At 40.3% G+C, this 27280-nt stretch overlaps 1 protein-coding gene and 1 pseudogene across 2 annotated transcripts in view, besides 1 other annotated feature; both read left to right on the forward strand.

The window, feature by feature from the left end:
* CCDC126 (coiled-coil domain containing 126) overlaps nucleotides 1-27280 on the forward strand; it is a 47327-nt gene that overhangs the window by 7186 nt on the left and 12861 nt on the right. For both annotated transcript variants that reach the window (XM_017012775.3, NM_138771.4), the window contains one exon: nucleotides 6604-6986. In XM_017012775.3, coding sequence (XP_016868264.1) covers nucleotides 6749-6986 — 238 coding nt within the window. In that variant the 5' untranslated portion in view covers nucleotides 6604-6748. The remainder of the gene's footprint in view (nucleotides 1-6603; nucleotides 6987-27280) is intronic.
* Nucleotides 1665-1799: a silencer, noted in NCBI's record as "fragment chr7:23645851-23645985 (GRCh37/hg19 assembly coordinates)". NCBI's record gives its function as "represses an EF-1alpha promoter that drives an FKBP-Casp9 reporter gene in an ReSE screen in K562 erythroleukemia cells {active_cell/tissue: K562}" and the evidence as "EXISTENCE:reporter gene assay evidence [ECO:0000049][PMID:32094911]".
* On the forward strand, nucleotides 14741-18326 carry FCF1P1 (FCF1 pseudogene 1; annotated as a pseudogene).

Genomic DNA, 27280 nt, shown 5'->3' on the forward strand with positions numbered 1-27280 from the left:
ATTGAGTAGTATGTCAGTTATTCTTTACCAGTATTAAATAGGTATTGTTGTCCCCATTATATAAGTGAGGATATCAGGCCTTAGGGAGATAAAATAACTTTTACAAGGTTTTAAAGATATACTATAATTTCATATAGAAAATGATAGGGCCAGGTGCGGTGGCTCACACCTGTAATCCCAGCACTTTGGGAGGCTGAGGCGGGTGGATCACAAGGTCAGGAGATCGAGACCATCCTGGCTAACATGGTGAAACCCCGTCTCTACTAAAAAAATACAAAAAATTAGCCGGGTGTGGTGGCGGGCGCCTGTAGTCCCAGCTACTTGGGACGCTGAGGCAGGAGAATGGTGTGAACCCAGGAGGTGGAGCTTGCAGTGAGCCGAGATTGAGCCACTGCACTCCAGCCTGGGCGACAGAGCAAGACTTCGTCTCAAAAAAAAAAAAAAAAAGAAAATGATAGAGAGTACCTTGTGGCTAGAGTGGGATAGGAATTGGAGTGCAACTTTTTGAAAACATTTTGAAGCGATGACATTTGAACTAAGTACTAAAGGATGAAAAGGAACAGGTTGTAGGGAAAGTACTCCAAGCTAGGGAATAGCAATTGTATAGACCCTGAGGTCAGAAAGAATTTAATGTGTTTTCCCTAGCATGGGTTTAGCATGGTGAGCAAGAGGGAAGTGGTATGAGATTAGGACAAAGAGAAATGGGTAGAAGTCAGATTATGTAGGGCTTGTGGATTGCATGTTGTAAAGGTTGGTACTGAGTTTGCATGTTAGATTCTAAGTGCAGTGTGAAACTGTTGAAAGGTTTTTAAGCAGGAGAATGTGATATGCTTGTGTGTGTGTGTGTGTGTGTGTGTGTGTGTGTGTGTGTGTGTGGTAAAAAAATACATAATCTAAAATTTATCATTTTAACATTTAAGTGTACAGTTCAGTGACATTAAGTACGTTCACATCATCATGCAACCATCACTACCATCCATCTCCAGAGCTTCTTCATCATCTCCATCTGAAACTCTGTACCCATTAAATCATAACTTTCCATTCTCTTCTTCCATGTGGTAGCATGTATCAGAACATCTTACTTCCTTAGGGCTGAATAATATTCCATTGTATGTAGATACCACATTTTATTTATCTGTTTATCTGTTGATGGACACTTGGGTTGTTTCCACCTTTTGGCTGTTATGAATAATGCTGCAATGAACACTGGCATACACATATCCCTTTGGGTTTCTGCTTTCATTTCTTTTGTGTATATATCCAGAAGTTCAATTACAGATTGTATGATAATCCTATGTTTAAGTTTTTGAGGAAATGCCATACTGTCTTCCCCAGCAGCCACACCATTTTATGTGCCCACCAGCAGAGCAGAAGAGTTTCGATTTGTTCACATCCTTGCCAACACTTGTTTTCTGTTTTTTTTTGTGTGTGTGTGTGTGTGATAACTATCCTAATGGGTATGAAGTGGTATTTCATAGTGGTTTTATTTATTTATTTATTTATGTTTTTGAGACCGAGTCTTGCTCTGTCGCCCAGGCTGGAGTGCAGTCGCGTGATCTCTGCTTACTGCAAGCTCCGCCTCCTGGGTTCACGCCATTCTCCTGCCTCAGCCTCCCAAGTAGCTGGGACTACAGGTGCCCGCCACCACACCCAGCTAATTTTTTGTATTTTTAGTAGAGACGGGGTTTCATCATGTTAGCCAGGATGGTCTCGATCTCCTGACCTCGTGATCTGCCTGCCTTGGCCTCCCAAAGTGCTGGGATTACAGGTGTGAGCCACTGTGCCTGGCCTCATAGTGGTTTTAATATACATTTCCCTATGATTAATGAGGTTGAGCATTTTTTTTTATTGGCAAAATGTCTTCGAATTATGAGTTTTGTTTTTGGAAGAATATTTGACTGCTCTGAGAAGAATGGATTGAAGTAGGGTTGGAGAGGAGTCTGGCAAACCACTTGACAAGCAGCTATAGGAATCCACTTGGAGGTGGTGATAGTTGGATCACACTCTGTTGCCCTTCTTCAGGTCTAGTACTTTACTGATACTTCATTTTAAGTGTGTCCCCTCTCCTTAGTTATTCTACTTTTGTGCCATATAGACTAATTACTTTTGTGACTTCTGCAGTTGGTTGAGCACTTTCTCCTGGGAATCTTAAAAATATTCAAGGTTTATCTTAGGCCAAAATAACAATGATGATGATTATTTTATTTTTTGCCTTTAAAACTCCAGACCAGGCACAGTGGCTCACACCTGCCATCCCTTTGGAAAGGCTGAGGCAGGAGGATCACGTGAGGCCAGGTGATCACGTGATGAGGCAGGAGGATCACGTGAGACCAGACTGGGCAACGTAATGAGACCCCTCTAAAAAAAAAAAAGTACAAAAATTAGCTAGGCCTGGTGGTGTGCACTTGTAGTTCCAGGCTATTCAGAAAGCTAAGGTGGGAGGATTGCTTGAGCCCGGAAGGCCGAGGCTGCAGTGAGCTGAGATCGTGCTACTGTACTGCAAGCCGGGGCAACAGAGCGAGACCCTGTCTCAAAAGCAAAAAACAAAAAACAACTCTCTAGTTGTTAATTTGGTGAATTTCAAGTTTTGTGTTTTTTTTAAGTGATTAATAGAAAATTAATATAGTGGCCTAGAAATTAAGATTTAAAAGTTTTTAGATTGTAGACTGTTTTGATGGAAGAAGTACTCCAATAAGAACTATGCCAGATGGTAGCCATAAGCCCTTGGCCTCAATGTTGGCCTATCAGGTTTCTGCTTAGTGACTCTGTCCTTATCTAAGTGGCCTTCTGGGGGCTGGATCAGTACTTGAAACATAAAGAAAAATTGAGGAGGTTCAAAGTGCAAGTTCTTCTGTTATTTGCAGCTTTGAACATTGCACAGAAAGAAAGGACATTGAATCTTTCCTTTCCTTTTTTTTCTTTCCTAAGGATGGAGGCTAATAATCATTTTCCTTTCTAATCACTAAATTAAAAGTACATAAGTAAATACCTTCAGTTGCTAAAGAAGTCAAAACTTCTTATCTTTTTTTATTTTTCTTATGTGAAATCACAGACAGTTCTCTGAGAATAGAACAGTGAGTGTATTCATATTGGCCCCGGAGAATAAAGTAATACCAGTGGAAATTGTTTCCTCTTCACTTTACTTCTACTTTTGCCTTATAAATACAGGGCCTAGCCTACCCTGGGGGTAACGACTCAGGTTCCAGCAGAGGTCACCTATTTTCAATCCCCTTCACCCCTTCCCCTTCAAGGTCGTCATGGTGTCATCTGAAGAATGACAAGGTTCATAAATTTGGAAAGGAGAGCTTTATTTCTTATAAAGGGTTGCAACCTGCACGGTGGTCTTTCTGACAGGCTGGGAAGCATAGCCTCCGTCCAGAAGCCAGAAACAGACACTTGGAGAGAGGGACAAAGGGAACAGGAATTTATGCTGAGCAGGGTGGCCGAATATACATATTTAATAAGTTTAAGGCGTCATGAATATTTATGAAAGGAGAAACGTGCATGCACAATTGAGCTTCATACCCATTCCTAGGTCCTGCATATAAAAAAATTGTGGCGTTAGCATGATTCCAGGGTGGAGTTTTCAGCCCTCTGATGTCAAAAGGTGAAGCGGAGGACACGAAAACCCTTACTGTGCATCCTCTGTAGACTGGCCAGAACTACTCTGTGGCTGGTGGTCTCTTATCAGGAAGAAATGCTTGTAGGTTGTTTCGTTGGAACTGCAGAATGGAGAGGCAGCAGTCAGGCAGTTGGTTGAGATCAGTGGTGGAGTCTTTTGAAAGGCCTGGTTTCTGTTTAGCCCAAGCTTGTTCAACCTGCAACCCATGGGCTGCATGGGACGGCTTTGAATGTGGCCCAACACAAATTCATAAACTTTCTTAAAACACTATGATTTTTTTTGTGATTTTTAATTTTTAATTTTTTTTAGCTCATCAGCTGTCGTTAGTGTTAGTATATTTTATGTGTGGTCAGAACGATTCTTCTTCCAGTGTGGCCCAGGGAAGCCAAGAGATTGGACACCCCTAAGTTAGCCCTTAGAGAATAATGCCTAATGGCATGATGATAATGGCAGTTGTCAAGGGAGGGAAGTATAATGAAGTGTATCTGACTGCCCATCCTGTTAGAACTGCCTAATGGTGGTTCTAATGGGTTCTCCTTGCCCGATGCCTAGACAGAACCAATTTATCAAGATGGGAATTGCAATAGAGAAAGAGTTTAATTCATGCAGAGCCAGCTGTATGGGAAACCAGAATTTTATTATTACTCAAACCCATCTTACTGAAAACTCAGGGATTGGGGTTTTTAAGGATAATTTGGTAGGTAGGGGGCCAGAAGGTGGGGAGTGCTGATTGTTCAGGTTGGAGGCAAAATCATAGAATCATGACTCTTCAAAGCTGTCCTCTTGCACCGAGTCACTTCCTAGGTGGGAGCCACAAGACCAGATGAGCCAGTTCGTTGATCTGGGTGGTGTCAGCTGATCCATCTAGTTCAGGGTTTGCAGAATATCTCAAGCATTGATCTTCAGTTTGACAATAATGGTATTACCTCCAGGAACAATTTGGGGAGGTTCCAAATTTTGCAGCCTCCAGCTGTGTGACTTCTAAACCTTAATTTCTAATTTTTTTTTTTTGGGATGGAGTTTCACTCTTGTTGCCCAGGCTGGAGTGCAATGTTGCAATCTCAGCTCACTGCAACTTCTGCCTCCTGGGTTCAAGTGATTCTCCTGCCTCAGCCTCCCTAGTAGCTGGGATTACAAGCATGCGCCACCACGTCCGGCTAATTTTGTATTTTTAGTAGAGATGGGCTTTCACCATTTTGGTGAACTCCTGACCTCAGGTGATCCACCAACCTCGGCCTCCCAAAGTGCTGGGATTACAGGTGTGAGCCACCATGCCTGGACAATTTCTAATTTTGTAGCTAATTTATTAGTCCTGCAAAGGTACTCTAGTCCCCAGACAGGAGGGGGGTTTTGGGAAAGGTAAACTAAAAACTAAGTTAAACTATAAGCTGAGTTCCTGCCAGTGCTGTGGCTTATGCCTCTAATCCCAGCACTTTGGGAGGCTGAGGCAGGTGGATAGCTTGAGTTCAGGAGTTCGAGACTAGCCTGGCAACATGGCAAAAGCCCTTCTCTACAAAAAAAAATTAGCCAGGTGTGGTGGTGCATGCCTGTGGTCCCAGCTACTCGGGAGGCTGAGGCCAGAGGATAGCTTGAGCCTGGGAGGTGGAGGCTGCAGTGAGCTGAGATTGCACCACTGTACTCCAGCCTGAGTGACAGAGCGAGACCCTGTCTTAAAAAATAAATAAATAAATACAATTTTAAAAAAGTTCTTAAGGATTATTTTCAGTAAGCTGTGAAATATCTTTGTGAAATGCACTGTTCTGACTCGAGATACATTTCTATCTAAAGAATTTTGCTCCATTTGATGTAGTCAAAGAGTTTTTTTTACTGGACACTGGTGATTCACACCTTTTTTACTCTCCTGGTTTTTCTAGATTCTGTGATTAACACCTTTCTGTGTTTTAAAAACTTGAAGTATAACCTTTTAATTTTTTCTTAAATTACATAAATGCATACCTTTCTCATTTAAAATTTGGAATTGTAAATTTGGAAATATAGAAAAATGTTCCAACCTGTTTGTTTGTTTATTTATTTGTTTTTGAGACAAGGTCTTGCTCTGTCACCCAGGCTGGAGTACAGTGGAATGATCATGGCTCACTGTACCCTTAACCTCTCAGGCTCAAGCAGCCCTGCCGCCCCACCTTCCTGGGTAGCTGGGACTACAGGCGCATGCCACCATGCCTGGCTAATTTTTAAAATTTTTGTATAGAGATGAGGTCTTCCTATGTTGATCAGACTGGTCTCAAACTCCTGGGCTCTAGGGATACTCCCACCTTTGCCTCCCAAAGTGTTGGGCTTACAAGTGTAAGCCACTGCCCCTGGTCTCAAGTGTTTTAGTACTTGCCGTTAAATGATCATCATTCTTTATGTCTGGCATATTTTTGTATGATATAAACTTAGAAATTATAACTTATTTTTTATCTTAGATTGCATCTTGGATTGGATGCTTCCTAAGGTTACCTTATGCCCATTAGTAATAATTTCTGGTGACATTTTCAAATGTTGGCACACTCTGTTTATATTGTGGGAATTCTTTTTAGACAGGCATTTTGATTTTCCGATCCTTTTTCTTTCCTTCTTCCTAACTTTCATTTTGATGTTTTTTCTTTTTTTTTTGAGGAAGAATAGCTTTTAGGCATTTAGGTTGGTGACACGTATTTGAATAGACTGAGATCTCCTATATATCTCATTATAATATCCATGGTTTTAGTTACAAATGAGAAACAATTTGAAGAGTTTTATGACCATGGTTGCATTTTTTCAGTTATTTTCAATGAATTGACATTTGTTTCTAGTTTAAACTTTGAAAAGATACGTAAGTGAGACTGATAAAAGACTAGAAAGCTTACTTAGTGGTGGAGAAAGTTGTCAAATATATGACACAGTTCCAAATAAAAATTATAGAATATTTTCTTTATAGTCGTCTGTTCTGTTACTGATACAGATTAAGACTAATACTGTTTTTCTTCTTAATTTTACAGAGTTAATAGAGTGGATACAACCTTGCTGAAGATGAAGAATATACAATATTGAGGATATTTTTTTCTTTTTTTTTTCAAGTCTTGATTTGTGGCTTACCTCAAGTTACCATTTTTCAGTCAAGTCTGTTTGTTTGCTTCTTCAGAAATGTTTTTTACAATCTCAAGAAAAAATATGTCCCAGAAATTGAGTTTACTGTTGCTTGTATTTGGACTCATTTGGGGATTGATGTTACTGCACTATACTTTTCAACAACCAAGACATCAAAGCAGTGTCAAGTTACGTGAGCAAATACTAGACTTAAGCAAAAGATATGTTAAAGCTCTAGCAGAGGAAAATAAGAACACAGTGGATGTCGAGAACGGTGCTTCTATGGCAGGATATGGTAAGATAACCGTAGAATATTTCTAGTTTCCTCCAATCCCTGTTTAAAGATGGTTTTGGAAATTGAACTTATTACTTCATGCATAGGTCTTTGCAAAGTAATTTTTTCTTGACTTTTTATTATGAAAATTTCAAATGTACTGAAAAATAGAGATACTATGATAAATACGTACATATTCATCATCCAGACTTAACAGTTATTAACATTTGGCAACATTTGTTTTATCTAATTGTTGAAGAATATTTAAACTATAGAAATTATGACATTTCGCTGCTAGATATATATCGCTGAAAAAAATGTATGTTGGAGGCCGGGCGTGATGGCTCACGCCTGTAATCCCAGCACTTTGGGAGGCCGAGGCGGATGGATCACGAGGTCAGGAAATCGAGACCATCCTGGCTAACACGGTAAAACCCCGTCTCTACTGAAAATACAAAAACAAATTAGCCAGACATGGTGGCACGTGCTTGTAGTCCCAGCTACTTGGGAGGTTGAGGCAGGAGAATCATTTGAACCTGGGAGGCGGAGGTTGCAGTGAGCTGAGATCGCGCCGCTGCACTCCATCCTGGGTGGTAGAGCAAGACTCCGTCTCAAAAAAAAAAAAAAAAAAAATGTATCTTGGGCTGGTGTTGATGGCTCACATCTGTAATCTTAGTACTTTGGGGGGCCAAGGTGGGAAGATTGCTGGAGCCCAGGAGTTTGAGACTAGCCTAGTAGCCTAGGCAACATAGTGAGACCGCTACTAAAAATACAAACAAAAAATCAGCTGGGCGTGGTGGCAGGTGCCTGTAATCCCAGCTACTCGGGAGACTGAGGCAGGATGAGGCAGGAGAATCGCTTGAACCCAGGAGGTGGAGGTTGTGGTGAGTCGAGATTGTGCCACTGAATTCTAGCTTGGGTGACAGAGTTAGACTCCATCTCAAAAAAAAAAAAAAAAAAAAAAAAAAACAAAGAAAAAAGAAAAAAAAAATTAGCCAGGCATGGTGATACACACCTGTAGTCTTAGCTAGTCGGGAGGCTGAGGTGGGAAGATGGCTTGAGCCCAAGAGGTCAAGGATACAGTGAGCCATGTCTGCACCACTGTACTCCAGCCTAGGCAAGAGAGTGAGACCTCATCTCTTAAGAAAAGTCTAAAAAAATGACCTTCTTGGACATAATACAATACCATTATCACACCTAGTTTATATTTAAATTTTCCTGATTATCCTAATATAAGCCATCAATTGTATAGCATTTATTATTTCCTAAGAAGCAGGTTTTGCCTATATATCTCCAGTATTGTTTATTGCTGTTCTCCCTTTCACATTACTGGGTCCTGTTGTGTTTTAAGTTTCTTATCATGACATGTTCTTTCTTTCCTTTAAGACTTAAAAAGGAGAGAGAACAGATAGTATGGTTCTGTCTGGAACAATGTATATACATGAATGTGTGGACATTTTCTCTATTTCAGTTTTGTTTGTTTAATTAAAAGTTATGGCTGGGCACAGTGGCTCACATCTGTAACCCCAGCATTTTGGGAGGCTGAGGTAGGTGGATTGCTTGAGTCCAGGAGTTTGAGACCAGCCTGGGCAACATAGTGAAACCATTTCTCTACAGAAAATACAAAAGTTAGTGGGGCGTGGTGGCGCGCACTTGTAGTTCCAGCTACTTGGGAGGTTCAGGTGGGACAACTGCTTGAGCCTGGGAGGTTGAGGCTGCAGCAAGGTGTGATCACACGCCACTGCACTTAAGCCTGGGTGACAGAGTGAGACCCTGTCTCAAAAAAAAAAAGTGGTACATGCATGTATTTAAATAATCAAAGTGTGTTATGATTCCTGTAATGAAAAAGGGCAGTTTTTTCTACTCCCAAAAGTCCTCAAATTTCCTGTTCTTTAGAGCCACCCATTTTAAATTCTTTCATCTCATTTTTTTGGTGATTATTTCTGCATCTAAATAATATGCTCTGTGAGCTCCTTTCCGATTTTTCAGTTATAGGTGTTATCTGTTAACTTCTCATTAAGCAAGGTGAGAGTTTAGCTTTCTTTCTCACTTAAAAATGCATTCCATCCACCCCCCAGGCTGTTGTCACATCCATATCCTTCTTATCCTTTCATTTTCCCTTCATAATTTTGTTTAGAATAATATTCAGTATTTATACTATTATGACCATGTTGATGGTATTCATTATTGAGCCATATAAAGGCATACCTCAGAGATACTGTGGATTCTGTTCCAAACCACACAATAAAGTGAATGTCACAATAAGCAAGTCACACAGATCTTTTGGTTTCCCAGTGCATATAAAAGTTAAGTTTACACTATACTGTAATCTCTTAAGTGTGCAGTAGCATTATGTCTTAAAAAACAATGTACATACCTTAATTGAAAATACTTTATTGCTAAAATATGCCAAAAATCATCTGAGCCTTCAGCAAGTCATAATCCTTTTGCTGGTGGAGGATCTTGCCTTGATGTCAAAGGTTACTGACTGATCAGTGTGGTGGTTACTGAAGGTTGGGGTGGCTGTGGCAATTTCATAAAATGAGACAATAATGAAGTTTGCCACATTGATGGACTCTTCATGAAAGATTTTTTTTGTAGCATGGATTATTTGATAGGATTTTACCTACGGTAGAACTTCTTTCAAAATTGGAGTCAGTCCACACAAATCCTACTGCTGCCTTGTCAATAAAGTTTACATAATATTCTAAATCCTTTGTTGTCATTTCAACAGTGTCCACAACATCTTCACCAGTAGATTCCATCTCAAAAAACTACTTTCTTTGCTCTTCCGTAAGAGCAGCTCCTCATCTGTTCAAGTCTTATCATGAGATTGCAGCAATTCAGTCTCGTTTTCAGGCTCTACTTCTCATTCTGCAGTTACTTCTTCCACTGAAGTCTTGAACCCCTCAAAGTCATCCATGAGGGTTGGAATCACCTTCTAATTCATTCATTCATTCTTATAAATGTTGACATTTTTACCTCCTTTCATGAATCATGAATATTATTAATGGCATCTAGAATAGTGAATCCTTTCCAGAAGGCTTTCAGTTTACTTTGTCTAGACCCATCAGCTCTGGCCTTATGGAATGTATTTCTTAAATAATAAGACTTAAAAGTCCAAATGACTCCTTTATCGATGGGCAGGAGAATGGATGTTGTGTTAGCAGCCATGAAAACATGAATCTCCTTGTACATCTTCAGAGCTGTTGGGTGACTGGGCACATTGTCAAGGAGCAGTAATATTTTGAAAGGAATTGTTTTTTCTGAACAGTGGGTCTCAACAGTAGGTCTTAGTGGGCTTAAAATGTTCAGTAACTCATTCTGTAAACATATGTTGTCACCCAGGCTTTCTTGTTCCATTTATAGAGCACAGGCAGAATAGATTCAGCATAATTCATAAGGGCTCTAGGATTTTCAGCATGATAAATGAGCATTGGTTTCAACTTTAAGTCACCAGATGCATTACCCCCTAAGAAGAAAGTCAGCCTGTCATTTGAAGCTTTGAAGTCAGGCATTGACTTCTCACTAGCTATGAAAATCCTAGATGGCATCTTCTTCCTAGAGAAGAATGTTTTGTCTACACTGAAAATTTGTTACTTAGTATAGCCACCTTCATCAATGATCTTAGCTAGGTCTTCTAGATAACTTGCTGCAGGTTCTCCATTAGCACTTGCTGCTTCACCTTGCACTTGAATCTTATGGAAATGGCTTTTTCCTTAAACCTCAAAAGCAACCTCTGCTAGCTTCCAACTCTTCTTCTGCAGGTTCCTAACCTCTCTTAGCCTTCATAGAATTGAAGAGAGTTGGGGTCTTGCTCTGGATTAGGCTTTGGCTTAAGAGAATGTTGTGGCTGGTTTGATGTTTTATCCAGACCACTCAAACTTTCTTCATTTCAGCAGTAAAGCTGTTTTTCTTTCTTATTGTTCATGTGTTCCCTGGAGTAGCACTTTTAATTCTCTTCAAGAACTTTTCCTTTGCAGTCACAACTTGGCTGTTTGGCACAAGGCCTAGCTTTCAGCCTATCTCAGCTTTCAACATGCCTTCCTCACTAAATTTAATCATTTCTGGCTTTTAGTTTAAAGTGAGAGAAGAGGGACTCTTCCTTACACTTGAACACTTAGAAGCCATTGTAGGGTTATTAATTGGCCTAATTTCAATATTGTTATGTCTAAGGGAATAGGGAGGCCTGAAGAGAGGGAGAGAGACAGAGGAAAGGCCATTGGATGCAGCAGTCAGAACACATGTAACATTTATGAATTAAGTCTGCTGTCTTATATAGATAGAATTCAAGGTGTCCCAAAACAGTTCCAATGGTAGCATCAGCAATTGCTGATCAGCTCACCATGGCAGATACAAGAATAATGAAAAAGTCTGAAATATGATGAGAATTACCCAAATGTGACAGAGACACAAAGTGAGCAGATATTGTTAGAAAGATGGCACCAATAGACTTGCTCCATGCAGAGTTGCTGCAAACATTCAATTGTAAAAACACAATATCTGTAAAGTGAAGTGCAATAAAACAATGTATTCCTCTATTACATTATGGTTACTTTCCTATAAACTTTTTCACCCTAGAGTTTAATAAGTATCGATTTTTGCTTCTTTGCCTAGTTTTCTACTGCATCCCCCTACAGTTGTTTAAATATTCTCCTAGCATATTCAGACACATTAGGTATTTTAGCACTTTCTTTATATTGAAGAAATCTTTCCTGATGCCTTCCAGTCATCTCTGGCCTGGACTGTTTGCTCTCTAGGATTGCAGCAGTGAATTGTTTTAAGATCACAATTTGTCATCATCTTGTAGATTTCTTTTACTCCTCTATTATATTGGATCTCCTATTTTCTAGAATTTTTAAGCTTCCTCTTTATTGGTTATCCCCTGATTTTAAGGGAACAGATCTTCTGGTAGGTTCCTGAGAAAGATGCAGATAGGTAAAAGTTTTGAATTCTTGTATATCTTGAAAAGATCTTTTTCCCCTCAACCCTCATGCTTCATTGTAAGTTTGGCTGGGTGTAGAAATAATTTTCCTTGAGATGGAAATAATTTTCCTTGAGATTTTAAAGGCTCTGCTCTGTTCTGTTTTACTCCTCATCCCCCTAGGTTCCAGTGTTCTTTTTGAGAAGCTGATGCTCTTCTTTATCCTTTTTATGTGACTTAATTTTTGGAATCTTGTAAGGTCTGTGTCCCACACCATTCTAAAATTTCTCAGTGATGTGACTGGGTATGGGTCTCTTTCGTACATGTGTTGGGCCCTCAGTGGGACATCCTGCAATTTATGTCATTCAATTCTGGGATATTTTCTTAATTTATTAATTTGATTTCTATGTTTTTCATTCACTCTTTCTGGCATTCTGTTAATTCCAGCATTTGGGCTCTCTGGACTGTTGTCCTCCAGTTTTCCCTTATTTATTTTCCATTTCTGTCTTTTTACTTCATTTTTTGAGACGATTTCCTTAGCTTAATTTCCAGATCTTTACGGAGTTTTTAATCTCATCTAATATTTTTAATTTCTAAGAGCTATCTTTTGGGCTGGGCGCGGTGGCTCACCCCTGTAATCCTAGCACTTTGGGAGGCTGGGCAGGTGGGTCACTTGACGTTAGGAGTTCGAGACCAGCCTGGCCGACATGGTGAAACCCCATCTCTACTAAAAATACGAAAATTATCTGGACGTGGTGGCACACACCTGTAATCCTAGCTACTCGGGAGGCTGAGGCAGGAGAATCACTTGAATCCAGGAGACGGAGGTTGCAGTGAGCCAAGATTGCACCACTGCTCTCTAATCTGGGGAACAGAGTGAGATGCTGTCTCCAAAAAAAAAAAAAAAAAAAAAAAAAAGAAAAGGAAAAAAAAAGCTGTCTTTTGTTACATCTCTGAGGTTATCAATGGTAGCTTTTCTGAAGCGTTTTTATGTTTCTTCCAAATATATCTGGTGATCCTTATTCTTTGTCTGTATTTGAGAAATGAGGCACTAAAAGGTTGATGGCAAATGCTGAGCTTTTGTGTGGTATTCACTATAGGATGATCTGGCTGGGACATTTCTTTGGGTATATCCTTAATATTTATAATGACTTCTCATACCAACTACCTGCAGTTAAGCCTGCAGTAAGGGCACAGTGCTCCACAAGACTGCCCTCACTTCAGACACCAGCCACTAGTTAGGGTATTCCCAGGCCACTTTCACTTCTGATCAAGTGGCTACAAATTTGTGGGTTATTACCTCCTTATGTTTGACAATTCACTAGATTGACCTGTAAAACTCACTGAAAAGTACTGTGCGTCACTTTTGATATAAATACTTTATTTTCAATCTGTAATTGAATTTGTGGATGCAGAACCCACAGATACAGAGATCTAACTAAGGGACATGAAAATCCATGGATTTTGGTATCCGTGGTGGGTCCTAGAACCAATTCCCTACAGATACAGAGAGCCAAGTATACTTACTATTACAGTTTTAGTGTAGAAGAAGGATAGATGCTAGAGCCAGCCAAAGGGAGATACGCATAGGACAAGGTCTGGGAGGGTACGAGATGCAGTTTCTGTTGTCCTCTCTTCATAGAACCAGGACACATTACCCTCCTGGCATATCCAACACACATCAGTGTGTGATAATATGCAGAATATTGCCAACTAGGGAATCTCACCTGAACTTCAATGTACAGTTGTATTGGGGTCTCATTATGTAGGCATGATTGAATCATTGCCCACGTGGTTGAACTTAATCTCCACCCCTCCTCCCCTCCCTGGAAGTCAGCTGAAAATCCCCAACTCTCTAATCACATGGTTGTCCTTTCTGACATGGCCAGCTCCCCAACCCCCCATTCTGGGTCTTCCCATTAGCACAAAATATCTAGAGCCCCACTCTGAGTTGCCTCCTTAAGGTAAACTAACAGATGTGGTCCCAGGGGCCTACCATGACTAATAAAGACATTCGTCACTCAGGAAATTCCAGGCACTTAGTGGCTACCTCCCAACAACTGGAGACAAAGATCAGCTAAATTTTTTTTTTTTTTTTTTTTTTTTAAATTTGAGACAGAGTCTTGCTCTGTTGTTCAGGCCGGAGTGCAGTGGTGCAATCTTGGCTCACTGCAACATCCACCTCCTGGGTTCAAGTGACTCTCCTGCCTCAGCCTCCCGAGAACCTGGGACTACAGGCATGCACCACCGCGCCCAGCTAATTTTTATGTTTTTTAGTAGAGATGAGGTTTTACCATGTTCAAGGCCAGGTTGGCCTTGAACTCCTGACCTCATGTGATCCACCTGCCTCCACCTCCCAGAGTGCTGGGATTACAGGGGTGAGCCACCGCGCTTGGCCTAAATTTTTTATTACACAGTATCAATGTATTTTATTCCTTTGAGATGATCTCTAATATCAGTATATTTAGGTCTCTCCTGTTGAGCTGGTCAGATACCCTGGAGAAGCACTTCCTGTCTGTTGCTGGAGAGTATAGGCCTGTAAGTGTTCTGGGATCTGAGCGAGAGAAAAAGGCTGGGCAAGGAAGAGTGATCTCAGCACTCACTACCTTCATTTACTCTTCCAGTTTCCAGTGTAAACCCAGGCCCTCAACTGCTCTATCCCCTTAAGAAAATACATCTCAGATCTTCTGCAGTGGGGGAGGTTTTGGAGTGGTGCACAGAATTTAAGGATGAATTGCTTCATAGAAAATAGTTAATGCATGCTGGGCTTAATACCTACCTAGGTGATGGGTTGACAGGTGCAGCAAATCACCATGGCGCAGGTTTACCTATGTAACAAACCTGCACATCTGAAGAAACAGGAGTGTGGCGTGACCATAGGGAAGCAAAAGAACACAAGGAAGTATGCAACCATGAAGCGCATGCTTAAACTCAGAGATCAGAGGCTTAAAGAAAAGGATAGATTAAAACCTACAAAGAAAGAAGAAAAGGATCCCAGCGCATTAAAGGAAAGAGAAGTTCCCCAACACCCTTCCTGCCTATTTTTCCAATGTAATGCACAGCTGGGCCCACCTTACTACATCCTTGTTGATACCAACTTTATTTATTTTTTCTTTTTTTTAAGAAAAATATATTTTTATTATACTTTAAGTTCTAGGGTACACGTGCACAATGTGCAGGTTTGTTACATATGTATATATGTACCATGTTGGTGTGCTGCACCCATTAACTTGTCATTTACATTAGGTATATCTCCTAATGCTATCCCTCCCCCCTCCCCCCACCCCACAATAGGCCCTGGTGTGTGATGTTCCCCTTCCTGTGTCCTAGTGTTCTCATTGTTCAGTTCTCACCTATGAGTGAGAACATGCGGTGTTTGGTTTTCTGTCCTTGCGATAGTTTGCTGAGAATGATGGTTTCCAGCTTCATCCATGTCCCTACAAAGGACATGAACTCATCCTTTTTTATGGCTGCATAGTATTCCATGGTGTCTATGTGCCACATTTTCTTAATCCAGTCTATCATTGTTGGATATTTGGGTTGGTTCCAAGTCTTTGCTATTGTGAATAGTGCTGCAATAAACATACGTGTGCGTGTGTCTTTATAGCAGCATGATTTATAATCCTTTGGGTACATACCCAGTAATGGGATGGTTGGGTCAAATGGTATTTCTAGTTCTAGATCCCTGAGGAATCGCCACACTGCCTTCCACAATGGTTGAACTAGTTTACAGTCCCACCAACAGTGTAAAAGTGTTCCTATTTCTCCACATCCTCTCCAGCACCTGTTGTTTCCTGACTTTTTAATGATCGCCATTCTAACTGGCGTGAGATGGTATCTCATTGTGGTTTTGATTTGCATTTCTCTGATGGCCAGTGATGATGAGCATTTTTTCATGTGTCTGTTGGCTGCATAAATGTCTTCTTTTGAGAAGTGTCTGTTCATATCCTTCACCCACTTGTTGATGGGGTTGTTTTTTTCTTGTAAATTTGTTTGAGTTCTTTGTGGATTCTGGATATTAGCCCTTTGTCAGATGAGTAGATTGCAAAAATTTTCTCCCATTTTGTAGGTTGCCTGTTCACTCTGATGGTAGTTTCTTTTGCTGTGCAGAAGCTCTTTAGTTTAATTAGATCCCATTTGTCAATTTTGGCTTTTGTTGCCATTGCTTTTGGTGTTTTAGACATGAAGTCCTTGCCCATGCCTATGTCCTGAATGGTATTGCCTAGGTTTTCTTCTAGGGTTTTTATGGTTTTAGGTCTAACATCTAAGTCTTTAATCCATCTTGAATTAATTTTTGTATAAAGTGTAAGGAAGGGATCCAGTTTCAGCTTTCTACATATGGCTAGCCAGTTTTCCCAGCACCATTTATTAAATAGGGAATCCTTTCCCCATTGCTTGTTTTTGTCAGGTTTGTCAAAGATCAGGTAGTTGTAGATGTGTGGTATTATTTCTGAGGGCTCTGTTCTGTTCTATTGGTATGTATCTCTGTTTTGGTACCAGTCCCATGCTGTTTTGGTTACTGTAGCCTTGTAGTATAGTTTGAAGTCAGGTAGTGTGATGCCTCCAGCTTTGTTCTTTTGGCTTAGGACTGACTTGGCAATGCGGGCTCTTTTTTGGTTCCATATGAACTTTAAAGTAGTTTTTTCCAATTCTGTGAAGAAAGTCATTGGTAGCTTGATGGGGATGGCATTCAATCTATAAATTACCTTGGCCAGTATGGCCATTTTCACGATATTGATTCTTCCTATCCATGAGCATGGAATGTTCTTCCATTTGTTTGTATCCTCTTTTATTTCGTTGAGCAGTGGTTTGTAGTTCTCCTTGAAGAGGTCCTTCACATCCCTTGTAAGTTGGATTCCTAAGTATTTTATTCTCTTTGAAGCAATTGTGAATGGGAGTTCACTCATGATTTGGCTCTCTGTTTGTGTGTTATTGGTGTATAAGAATGCTTGTGATTTTTGCACATTGATATTGTATCCTGAGACTTTGCTGAAGTTGCTTATCACCTTAAGGAGATTTTGGGCTGAGATGATGGGGTTTTCTAGATATACAATCATGTCATCTGCAAACAGGGACAATTGGACTTCCTCTTTTCCTAATTGAATACTCTTTATTTCTTTCTCCTGCCTGATTGCCCTGGCCAGAACTTCCAACACTATGTTGAATAGGAGTGGTGAGAGAGGTCATCCCTGTCTTGTGCCAGTTTTCAAAGGGAATGCTTCCAGTTTTTGCCCATTCAGTATGATATTGGCTGTGGGTTTGTCATAAATAGCTCTCATTATTTTGAGATAACGTTCCATCAGTACCTAGTTTATTGAGAGTTTTTAGCATGAAGGCCTGTTGAATTTTGTCAAGGGCCTTTTCTGCATCTATTGAGATAATCATGTGGTTTTTGTCTTTGGTTCTGTTTATATGCTGGATTATGTTCATTGATTTGTGTATGTTGAACCAGGCTTGCATCCCAGGGATGAAGCCCACTTGATCAAGGTGGATAAGCTTTTTGGTGTGCTGCTGGATTCGGTTTGCCAGTGTTTTACTGAGGATTTTTGCATTGTTGTTCATCAGGGATATTGGTCTAAAATTCTCTTTTTTTGTTGTGTCTCTGCCAGGCTTTGGTATCAGGATGATGCTGGCCTCATAAAATGAATTAGGGAGGATTCCCCCTTTTTCAGTTGATTGGAATAGTTTCAGAAGGAATGGTACCAGCTCCTCCTTGTACCTCTGGTAGAATTCGGCTGTGACTCCATCTGGTCCTGGACTGTTTTTGGTTGGTAAGCTATTAATTATTGCCTCAATTTCAGAGCCTGTTATTGGTGTATTCAGAGATTCAGCTTCTTCCTGGTTAGTCTTGGGAGGGTGTATGTGTCAAGGAATTTATCCATTTCTTCTAGATTTTCTAGTTTATTTGTGTAGAGGTGTTTATAGTATTCTCTGGTGGTAGTTTGTATTTCTGTGGGATCAGTGGTGATCTCTCCTTTATCATTTTTTATTGCGTCTATTTGACTCTTCTCTGATACCAACTTTATCAACTTTTCCTTAAAAGCGAAACTGGATTTAGTGCAGTCAACGATGGACTGTCTGTATGCCAGGTGTATCCCTTGTGTAACTGATTGTGTAATGGCTGAAATTGAGAAATTGGGGCAGAAGTATTGAGTGGCTCTAAGGATAGCCAAGGATCCAAGGTTTGTACTGTGTACACACAAAGGAACCTATGCAGATGACTGCTTAGTACAGAGAGTAGCTCAGCATAAATGTTACATTGTGGCCACAGTTGACCCTTAAGATTCCTGGAGTTCCTGTCATGTACATTTCTAACCATAGATACAACATTGAATGGTTGCCAGATGATTACAGAGCCCCTCCATTCTAAATCTTACAAGACACAATTCCTCTGCCTTTCTGCAACCAATGTTCTCTTGTTGCGAGTTCATTACACATGCAGTAACATGAATTATTATTCTGTTGACCTGTTTGCTCTGCTGTGAGCTGAGGATGGTTAAATATGCTCACTCTTTTTTTTTTTTTTTTTTTTTTGAGATGAAGTTTTGCTCTTGTTGCCCAGGCTGGAGTGCAATGGCACAATCTCAGCTCACTGCAGCCTCTGCCTCCCGGGTTCAGGCGGTTCTCCTGCCTTAGCCTCCCAACTGGCTGGGATTGCAGGCTCGCGCCACTATGCCCAGCTGATTTTTTTTTTTTTTTTTGGTATTTTTAGTAGAGACAAAAACTTTTGTATTTTTACTACAGAAAAATATGCCTCAGCCTCCCAAGGTGCTGGGATTGCAGGCATGAGCCACTGTGCCTGGCCTGCTCACTTTTTGATGCTGTTTTGGAATTGATATTTTGTCTCATAAAAATTTTAGACCAGGCATGGTGGCTCATGCCTGTGGTACAGCACTTTGAGAGGCCGAGGTGGGCGGATCACCTGAGGTCAGGAGTTTGAGACCAGCCACGACAACATGGCGAAACCCCATCTGTACTAAGAATACAAAGTTGGCCAGGTGTGGCGTTGCTTGCCTATAGTCCCTGCTGCTGTGGAGGCTGAGGCAGGAGAGTCACTTGAACCCAGAAGGCAGAGGTTGTGGTGGGCCGAAGTTGTGCCACTGCATTCCAGCCTAGGTGACAGAGTGAGACTGTCTCAAAAAAAAAAAAAAAAAAATTTAGTGATGGTCAAAGGGTACAAAATCTCAGACAGGAAGAATATGTTTTATACTTTATTGAGTTCTGTTGTACAGTGTGGTGCATATACTTAATAATGGGGTATTATACATTTCAAAATTGATGTTCTCATCACAGAAATATATTTGAAGTATTGGATATGTTAACTAGCTTGATTTAATTATTCCATATTGTATCCACAATTTATGACATCACTTCGTAACCCATAAATTTATACAATTATAAATTGTCGCTTTGTAGTAAAAAATTTTTGTTGTATCTTTTTAGGAATAAAAACCCCCTGCACATCCTGCACATATATCCCAGAACTTTGCACCTAGTCCTTCTAGGTTTTTAGTCCTTTCTTTACCTCTGTTTTCAGTAGTACATGGTGTAAAATTTCTGGGACCTTTCGGGGTAGGATTCTGTGGAGAAAACAGGATTGCTTCCTGGCTTTTCTTACTTCTCATTAAAGATTTAGCTTTCTCAGGTCTGCTAAGTCAGTTACCATTCAGCCCTGGAGTTTTGTTACTGTGGTCTCCTTTCTTGTTTGTTATCTTTAGCCTTGTGGATTTGTGCTTAAAAACATAAAGAGAAAAACAGTTTACTGTTTCTGTGGGTACCTAGACTAAGCTTATTCTAAATGCCTGTGTTCACTTCACCATCTTTACCTGGGAATGCCCTGGACACATATTTTTCCTTCTTCCCTTCATGATGATTTTCCTGAAATAATGATGGTTAGTCTGGTCTCAAACTCCTGGCCTCATGTCGTCCTTCCACCTCGGCCTCTCAAAGTGCTGGGATTACAGGCATGAGCCACCCTGGCCAGCCAGATATTATAGAAATAGATAACATAAATAAGCAAAAGCAGAGCAGAGGTAATTTCAGTTAATTTGGTATATATCAGCATTTGGCTATATATTTTCTTAAAGGGCTATGTCATAACTATTTTCAGTTTTGTGGGTTGTATATGGTGTCTGTTATAATAAATGAGCATGCCTATTTCCTAATAAAACTGTATTTTCAAAGATAGGTGGCCATTCAGCTGTAGTTTTCCAACCTGTGGTACCTATGCACGCATATTCCAACACATTGCTTTATTTTGAACAAAAATGGCATCGTACTGTACATGTTGGTTTTGCAACTTATTTATTTTCACTAAGTTACTGTAAATATACTTCCATTTTATACACATAGGTCTATTTTATCCTTTTTAATGACAATATTATTTCATTTTATTTTAATTTTTGAGACAGGATCTCATGCTCTTGCCCAGGCAGGAGTGTAGTGGAGTGATCATAGCTCAGTATAACCTCAAATTCCTGGGCTCAGGTGATCCCCCCACCTTAGCCACCCAAGTAGCTGAGACTACAGGTGTGCTCCACCCTGCCGGGCTAATTTTTTGTTGTTGTTGTTGAGTCAGGGTCTCACTGTGTTGCCCGGCATATTCTCAAACTTCTGGAATCAAGCGATCCTCCCACCTTGGCTTCCCAAAGTGCTCGGATTACAGATGTGAGCTACTATGCCTGGCCTATTATCTCATTTTATAAATGTCTTTCGTTTACTTCCCTAATGATCAATAATTTGGTGCTGAACTTTTTTTGTGTGTTTTATTTAGTGCTGTGGTGTATTTGTGTGTATGAAATATATGTGTGTGTATATGTATTTCATATTTGTGTGAATGTTTAAGAATAGATTACCTAATTGTGGAATTTTGGGGTCAAGGATGTGCACACGTTAAATTTAATAGACATTTGTCAGATTGCCCTCCAGAATGGTTCTACCAATTTACATTCTTACTATACCACTTTCCCGTCAGTGGGAAGGTGACCATTTATATGCAGACTTTGACCAATTCTATTTAATTTTAAATGGCATTTAGTTGTTTGCTTTTGGATTTATTTGCTTTCAGGGGAGGTTAAAAGATTTTTTTAAATGTTTGTTGGCTGTTTGTATTTCTTGTACATATGAGAATGTGAATTATTTGAGTCACGACAATTTTTCTGCTGGGAAATTTGTTTATTTCTTATTTGACTGATTTTTTTTTTTTTTTTTTTTTTTTGAGGCAGAGTCTTGCTCTGTTGCCCAGGCTGGAGTGCAATGGCGCTCTCTCAGCTCACTGCAAGCTCTGCCTCCCAGGTTCATGCCATTCTCCTGCCTCAGCCTCCCGAGTAGCTGGGACTACAGGCGCCCGCCACCACGCCCAGCTAATTTTTTTTGTATTTTTAGTAGAGACGGGGTTTCACTGTGTTAGCCAGGATGGTCTCGATCTCCTGACCTCGTGATCCACCCGCCTTGGCCTCCCAAAGTGCTGGGGTTACAGGCTTGAGCCACCGCTCCTGGCCTTGACTGATTCTTTATAAAGATGCTAATGCTGTCATGTGTTACAGAGGTTTTTCTTTTGATTTTCAGTTGCCTAATAACTGGGTGTGCTGTTTTAAAATTTTATGTAGTAAAATACATTTTTTATGATTTAGTTTTGTGCTGAAAATTTTTTTCTCCATAACTTATATTCTAATGTATTATGCTTTTTGTTGTTTTTTGTTTGTTTTACATTTATAGTTGTAATACAGTTGGGACTTCTGGTGTAAGCAGTAAGATGCAGCTTCTTTTCTCCAGATGAGTTAGCCAGTTATTCTAGTTTCATTATTTGAATTTCTTCCTTGGCTCCATTAATTTGAAATAGGAGTACAAATTATAATAAGATTAGAATTCTACAATAACTTAAACATTTAGCCATCTATAGAAACCATTTATCCATAGCCTTTCATTACTATACAAATAAGCTAGTCAATCAAAAATATTTATTGAATGGACCTCTTTTGAGCTGTTTATCCTATTTTTTCCAGTTGGTAAAATAAACATAAGCTAATATATTTTTTAATGGAAATTAAAAAAAATATTTATTTTAGGTTTGGGGGTACATGTGAAGATTTGTTATATAGATAAACACGTGTCTTGGGGGGTTCATTGTACATATTATTATATCATCCAGGTACTGAGCTTGGTACCCAATAGTTATCTTTTCTGCTCCTCTCCCTCCTCCCACCCTCCCCACTCAAGTAGACCCAGTGTCTGTTGTTTACTTCTTTGTGTTCGTAAGTTCTTATCATTTAGCTCCCACTTAGAAGTGAGAACGTGCAGTATTTGGTTTTCTGTTTCTGCATTAGCTAATATTTTTTAAAAATGCTAGTCTATAATAAATTGTTACTGTTTTGAAGACTGTGGACAGATTAATTCAACTTTATAATGACCTGTACATTTTGAACAGTTAATGTGTGCTTTCTCTTTAATCTATAATCATTTCCATCCACCTTATATCTTTTCCTCCACATTCTTAGTCCTCTGTGATGGAATTTTGTTTTCTTCCTATGTAATATTATCTCTGTTGGATTCTGTGATTTGCCTAGAACAATGAATTGGGAATACTTGCTCCAGCTTCACACTGACTGCTCTGGAACACTTTGCAGTTGGTGCATGGTTTCCTACACCTGGTTCTGAATCTCCAGCAACACCAGTCCTTAACCACATCAGGCTTTCCGACTGACCCTGCTTTCTTTTAAGGGTTTTGGCTTTCCTCTTTATCAGTGTAGCTGAACACTTTAAATAAAAAATAGATGCCAGCCAGGTGCAGTGGCTCACACCTGTAATCCCACCACTCTGGGGGACTGAGGCAGGAAGATCACTTGAGGCCAGGAGTTGAGACCAACTTGGGCAACATAGTGAGACCCTGGCTCTAAAAAAAAAAGGCCAGTTGCGGTGGCTCACCTGTAATCCCAGCACTTTAGGAGGCCCAGGTGGGTGGATCACTTGAGGTAGGCAGCAGGCACCCGTAGTCCCAGCTACTCGGGAGGCTGAAGCACAAGAATTGCTTGAACCGAGGAGGTAGAGGTTACAGTGAGCTGAGATCGCACCACTGCACTCCAGCCTGGGTGACGAGAGTGAGACTCTGTCTCAGAAAAAAAAAAAAAGAAAGACTGTATAAATATTTTAGGAGAATAATTTTTGATAGGGTCTTGCTCTGTCACCCAGGCTGGAGTACAGTGGCACGATCATGGCTCACTGCAGCCTCGACCTCCTGGGCTCAAGTGATCCTCCTGCTTCACCCTCCCTAGAAGCTGGGACTGCAGGTGTGCACCAAAACACACAGCCAATTTTTTTTTTAAGAGATGGGGTCTTGCTCTGTTGCCCAGGCTGATCTCAAACTCCTGGGCTCAAGCAGTCCTGTTTCGGACTCCCAAAGTTCTGGGATTGCAGGTATGAGCTACCACTCCCAGCCAGGAGAATAATTTAATGTTAATATTTAAATGTTCTTCAGAAAATAATAGTTTAAAAATTATTGCTCTTGCACACAAATCCAGCAAAAATTTTCCTTAGTAAAATGACCAAGATTAAAATTTCTTTAATTCATTTTAAAAATATATAAATTATTGTATAAGTAATGAATGGAAAACAGTGTTATAAGCATTTTCAGAAGCAGGCTATTGGAGATTATCTTTTATAGTTTGAAGAAAACCAGTTTTAAAAATTTCTCACACCGGGGACTTCTAGGAAAATGGAGATCTATCCTCATCTATGTTATGCATCTCTCCCCTGTTCTTTCCATCCAAATACAACCAAAAGCCTTGGACATTTTATATAAGACTCTGGAGGAGAAAAAGTCAGACAGTCTAGGGACCTCAGGAGACCAGGAGTGACACAGTGGTATGTTCCCTGTGTGTATTTCAGAGTTGGAGCTGAAGAAGTCAGCAACCTAGATACTGCCAACAGGCAAAGACAGAAAAAGCCCCAACAAAAGCCTGTTCTCTCTAGCCAAGAAAAGGCAGCCTAGCAAGCTAGAAAACTTGTAGTCAATAACAGCTCTCCTCTAGCCAAACATCACAGAAAAAAACTGTTGCTGCACTACCAGCTACCTGATCAAAGGCCAAGTGGTAAGCCTAGACTTTTATCCTTTCAAGGCTACAGTGAGGCATACAACATTCCTGCCATGGAGGTGTTAGAGAAGGCAGTAGGAGCCGGAAATGTCACCCCTGCCAGCCAGCCAGGAGTGAGAACTGCCCCCACTGTACTCATGGGACCAGTGGAGACCACATGGAGAATCAGGACTTTACCTCCACATGGCAGTAACGAACTGTTCATCTCCCTTCCCTCTGGTGTGATGTCAGGGGAAGCCTGTGGAGAGTCAGGACATTCATCATCCCCAGTGAGTATGAGGCCATCCCCACCACACTGTCAGTGGAGAGTACATGGGGACCTGGAACTCCCTTCTCCACCCAGCAGAGTGAGGAGCCCACCACCCTTGAGTATTGTGGAAGCTGAATGGGGCACTTGGACTTCTGCCTCTGCCTGGCAGTAACAAGGTGGCACCCCTCCCCTGCCAGAGTGGTGTTAGAGAAAACCACCTAAAACAGGAGGTTTAAATAAGATCCAGAGTCTCATAATATGAAAATGTCCAAATTTCAAACACAAATCACTTATACCAAGAACCAGGAAGGTCTCAGACTGAATGAAAAATGACAGTGACTGCTATGGTTTGAATGTATGTGTCCCTCCAAAATTCATATGTTGAAACCTAATTTGGTAGTATTAGAAGGTGGCGTCTTTGGGAGGTGATCATGTCACGAGGACTCTACCCTTATGAATGGGATTAATGCCCTTTATAAACAGAGGCTTCAGAGAGCTACCTTGTCTCTTCCACCCCTCTGCCATGTCAGGACACCTAGAAGACACCATCTGTGAGGAACAGGCTCTCAGCAGATACCAAATCTGCCGGCCCCTTGATAGTGTATACTTTCCAGCCTCCAGAACTGTGAGAAATCAATTTCTATTAATTACCTAGTCTGTGGTGTTTTGTGATGGCAGCCTGAATAGGCTAAGACAATGATATATTAGAATTATCTGAAAAAGATTTTAAAGCTGCTATGATAAAATTTCTCCAAAGAGCATTTAATGAATATGAAGCAAATGAAAAAGACACCTTCAAAAAAAAAAATAGAAAGTCTCAGGAGAAAAATAGATCATATGAACAAAAACCAAATGGAAATGTTAGAAGTGAAAAATACAATTAAATTAACAAGTTCAGCAAATGGACTCAACAACAGAATGGAGGGGACAGGAAAGAATCGGTAAACTGGAAGATAGAACAATGTAATTACACAATCCAAATAACAGGGAGAAAAACAGACAAAAATAAATAAAAAGAATAGAGCTTCCAGAACCTCTGGGACCATAACTAAAAATCTAACATTTGTGTCATCAGAATTTCAGGAGAAGAGAATGAGAGCAGAGCTGGAAAAGCAATTGAAGAAATGCTGTAAAATTTCCATATTTGGCAAAAGACAGAGTCCTCAGATTTAAGAAGCTGAGCAAACCCCAATCGGGATAAACCCATGCTAAGAATTTCATGCCAAGACAACATAATAATTAAAATTTGGAAAAAAGAAAAAAGGAAAGAGACCAGCCTTACCTATGAAAGACAAGTTTTAAAATTTGTACATAAAAAGTTTACATATTGACATATGCAGAATGCTCTGTTTATCCAATTTACATATATATATATGACATTCCAACAATAGTGGAATGCACATTTTTCAAGAGTCCATGGAGGCAGGGTGTGGTGGCTCTCGCCTGTAATCCCAGCACTTTGGGAGGCCAAGGCAGGCAGATCATTTGAGGTCAGGAGTTCAAGACCAGCCTGGCCAAAAAGGTGAAACCCCATCTCTACTAAAAATACAAAAATTAGCTGCTTGTGGTTGTGCACGCCTGTAATTCCAGCTACTCAGGAGGCTGAGGTATGAGAATTGCTTGAACCGGGAGACAGAGGTTGCAGTGAGCCGAGATTGTGCCACTGCATTCCAGCCTGGGTGACAAAGTGAGACTGTTTCAGTCAATCAATCAATCAATCATCCATGAAGGCTGGGTGTGGTGGCTCACACCTGTAACCCCAGCACTTTGGGAGGCCAAGGTGGGCAGATTGCTTGAGAACAGGAGCTCTTAACTAGGGAGTCTGAGGTGGGAGGATCCCTTGAGCCCAGGAGGTTGAGGCTGCAATGAGCCATGAGCATGCTGCTGCACTCTAGCCTAGGTGACAGAGCAAGACCCTATCTCAAAAAAAAAAAAAAAAAAAAAAAAAAAAAGTCCATAGAATATTTACCAAAGTAGACCTTGTTCTGGGCCATAAAACAAGCCTCACAAACTTAAAAGAATTGAAATCATTCTGAGTATATTCTCTGACCACAGTGTAGAAATCAATAATGGAAAGATGATAGGAAAATCTCTAATAGTTGGAAACTGGACAACATACTTCTAAATAATGAGTCAAAGAGGAAATCTCAAGGGAAATGAATACAAATGAAAATGCAACATAAAAAATTGTGGGACACAGCTAAAGCAGTGCTGAGAGGGAAATTTAGATTTATGCACTAAGTGCATAAATCAGAAAAGAGGAAAAGTCTCAAATCCGTAATCTAAGCTATTAGAGAACCTAGAAAAAGAAAAGCAAACTAAATCCAAAGCAAGCAGAAAAAGGGAAATGGTGAAGATAAAAGCAGAAATCAATGAAATTGAAAACAAAAACAGTAGAGAATATCAATGAAACAAAGAACTTGTCCTTTAATAGGGTCAAAAAAAAGGGACAAACTTATGATAAGACTGAAAAAGAAAAAAGACATAAATTACCAACATCAGGAATGAAAAAATGAATATCAGGGCAGACCCTGCAGATATCAAAAGGATAATGAACAGTGAACAGCTCTAAGACACATAAATTTGATAACTTGGATGAAATGGATCAATTTCTCAAAAAACAAATTGCCGCAATCCACCCAATATGAAATAGATAATTTGAATAGCCCTATTACTGTTAAGGAAATTTGGCCAAGTGCGGTGGCTCACGTCTGTAATCCCAGCACTTTGGGAGGCCGAGGTGGATCATGAGGTCAGGAGTTCAAGACCAGCCTTACCAACATGCTGAAACCCTGTCTCTACTAAAAACAAAAAAATTAGCCGGGCGTGGTGGTGTGCACCTGTAATCCCAGCTACTCAGGAGGCTGAGGCAGGAGAATTGCTTGAACCCTAGAGGCAGAGGTTGCAGTGAGCAGAGATGGAGCCACTGCACCTCAGCCTGGGTGACAGAGGGAGACCCTGTCTCAAAAAAAAAAAGAAATTTAATTTATAATTTAAAAGTCCCCCCCCACCCTGAAAAAAAATCTGTAGGCCCAGATGGTTTTGCTGGAGA

Source organism: Homo sapiens, chromosome 7, assembly GCF_000001405.40.
Source record: "Homo sapiens chromosome 7, GRCh38.p14 Primary Assembly".
Classification (NCBI taxonomy): domain Eukaryota; kingdom Metazoa; phylum Chordata; class Mammalia; order Primates; family Hominidae; genus Homo; species Homo sapiens.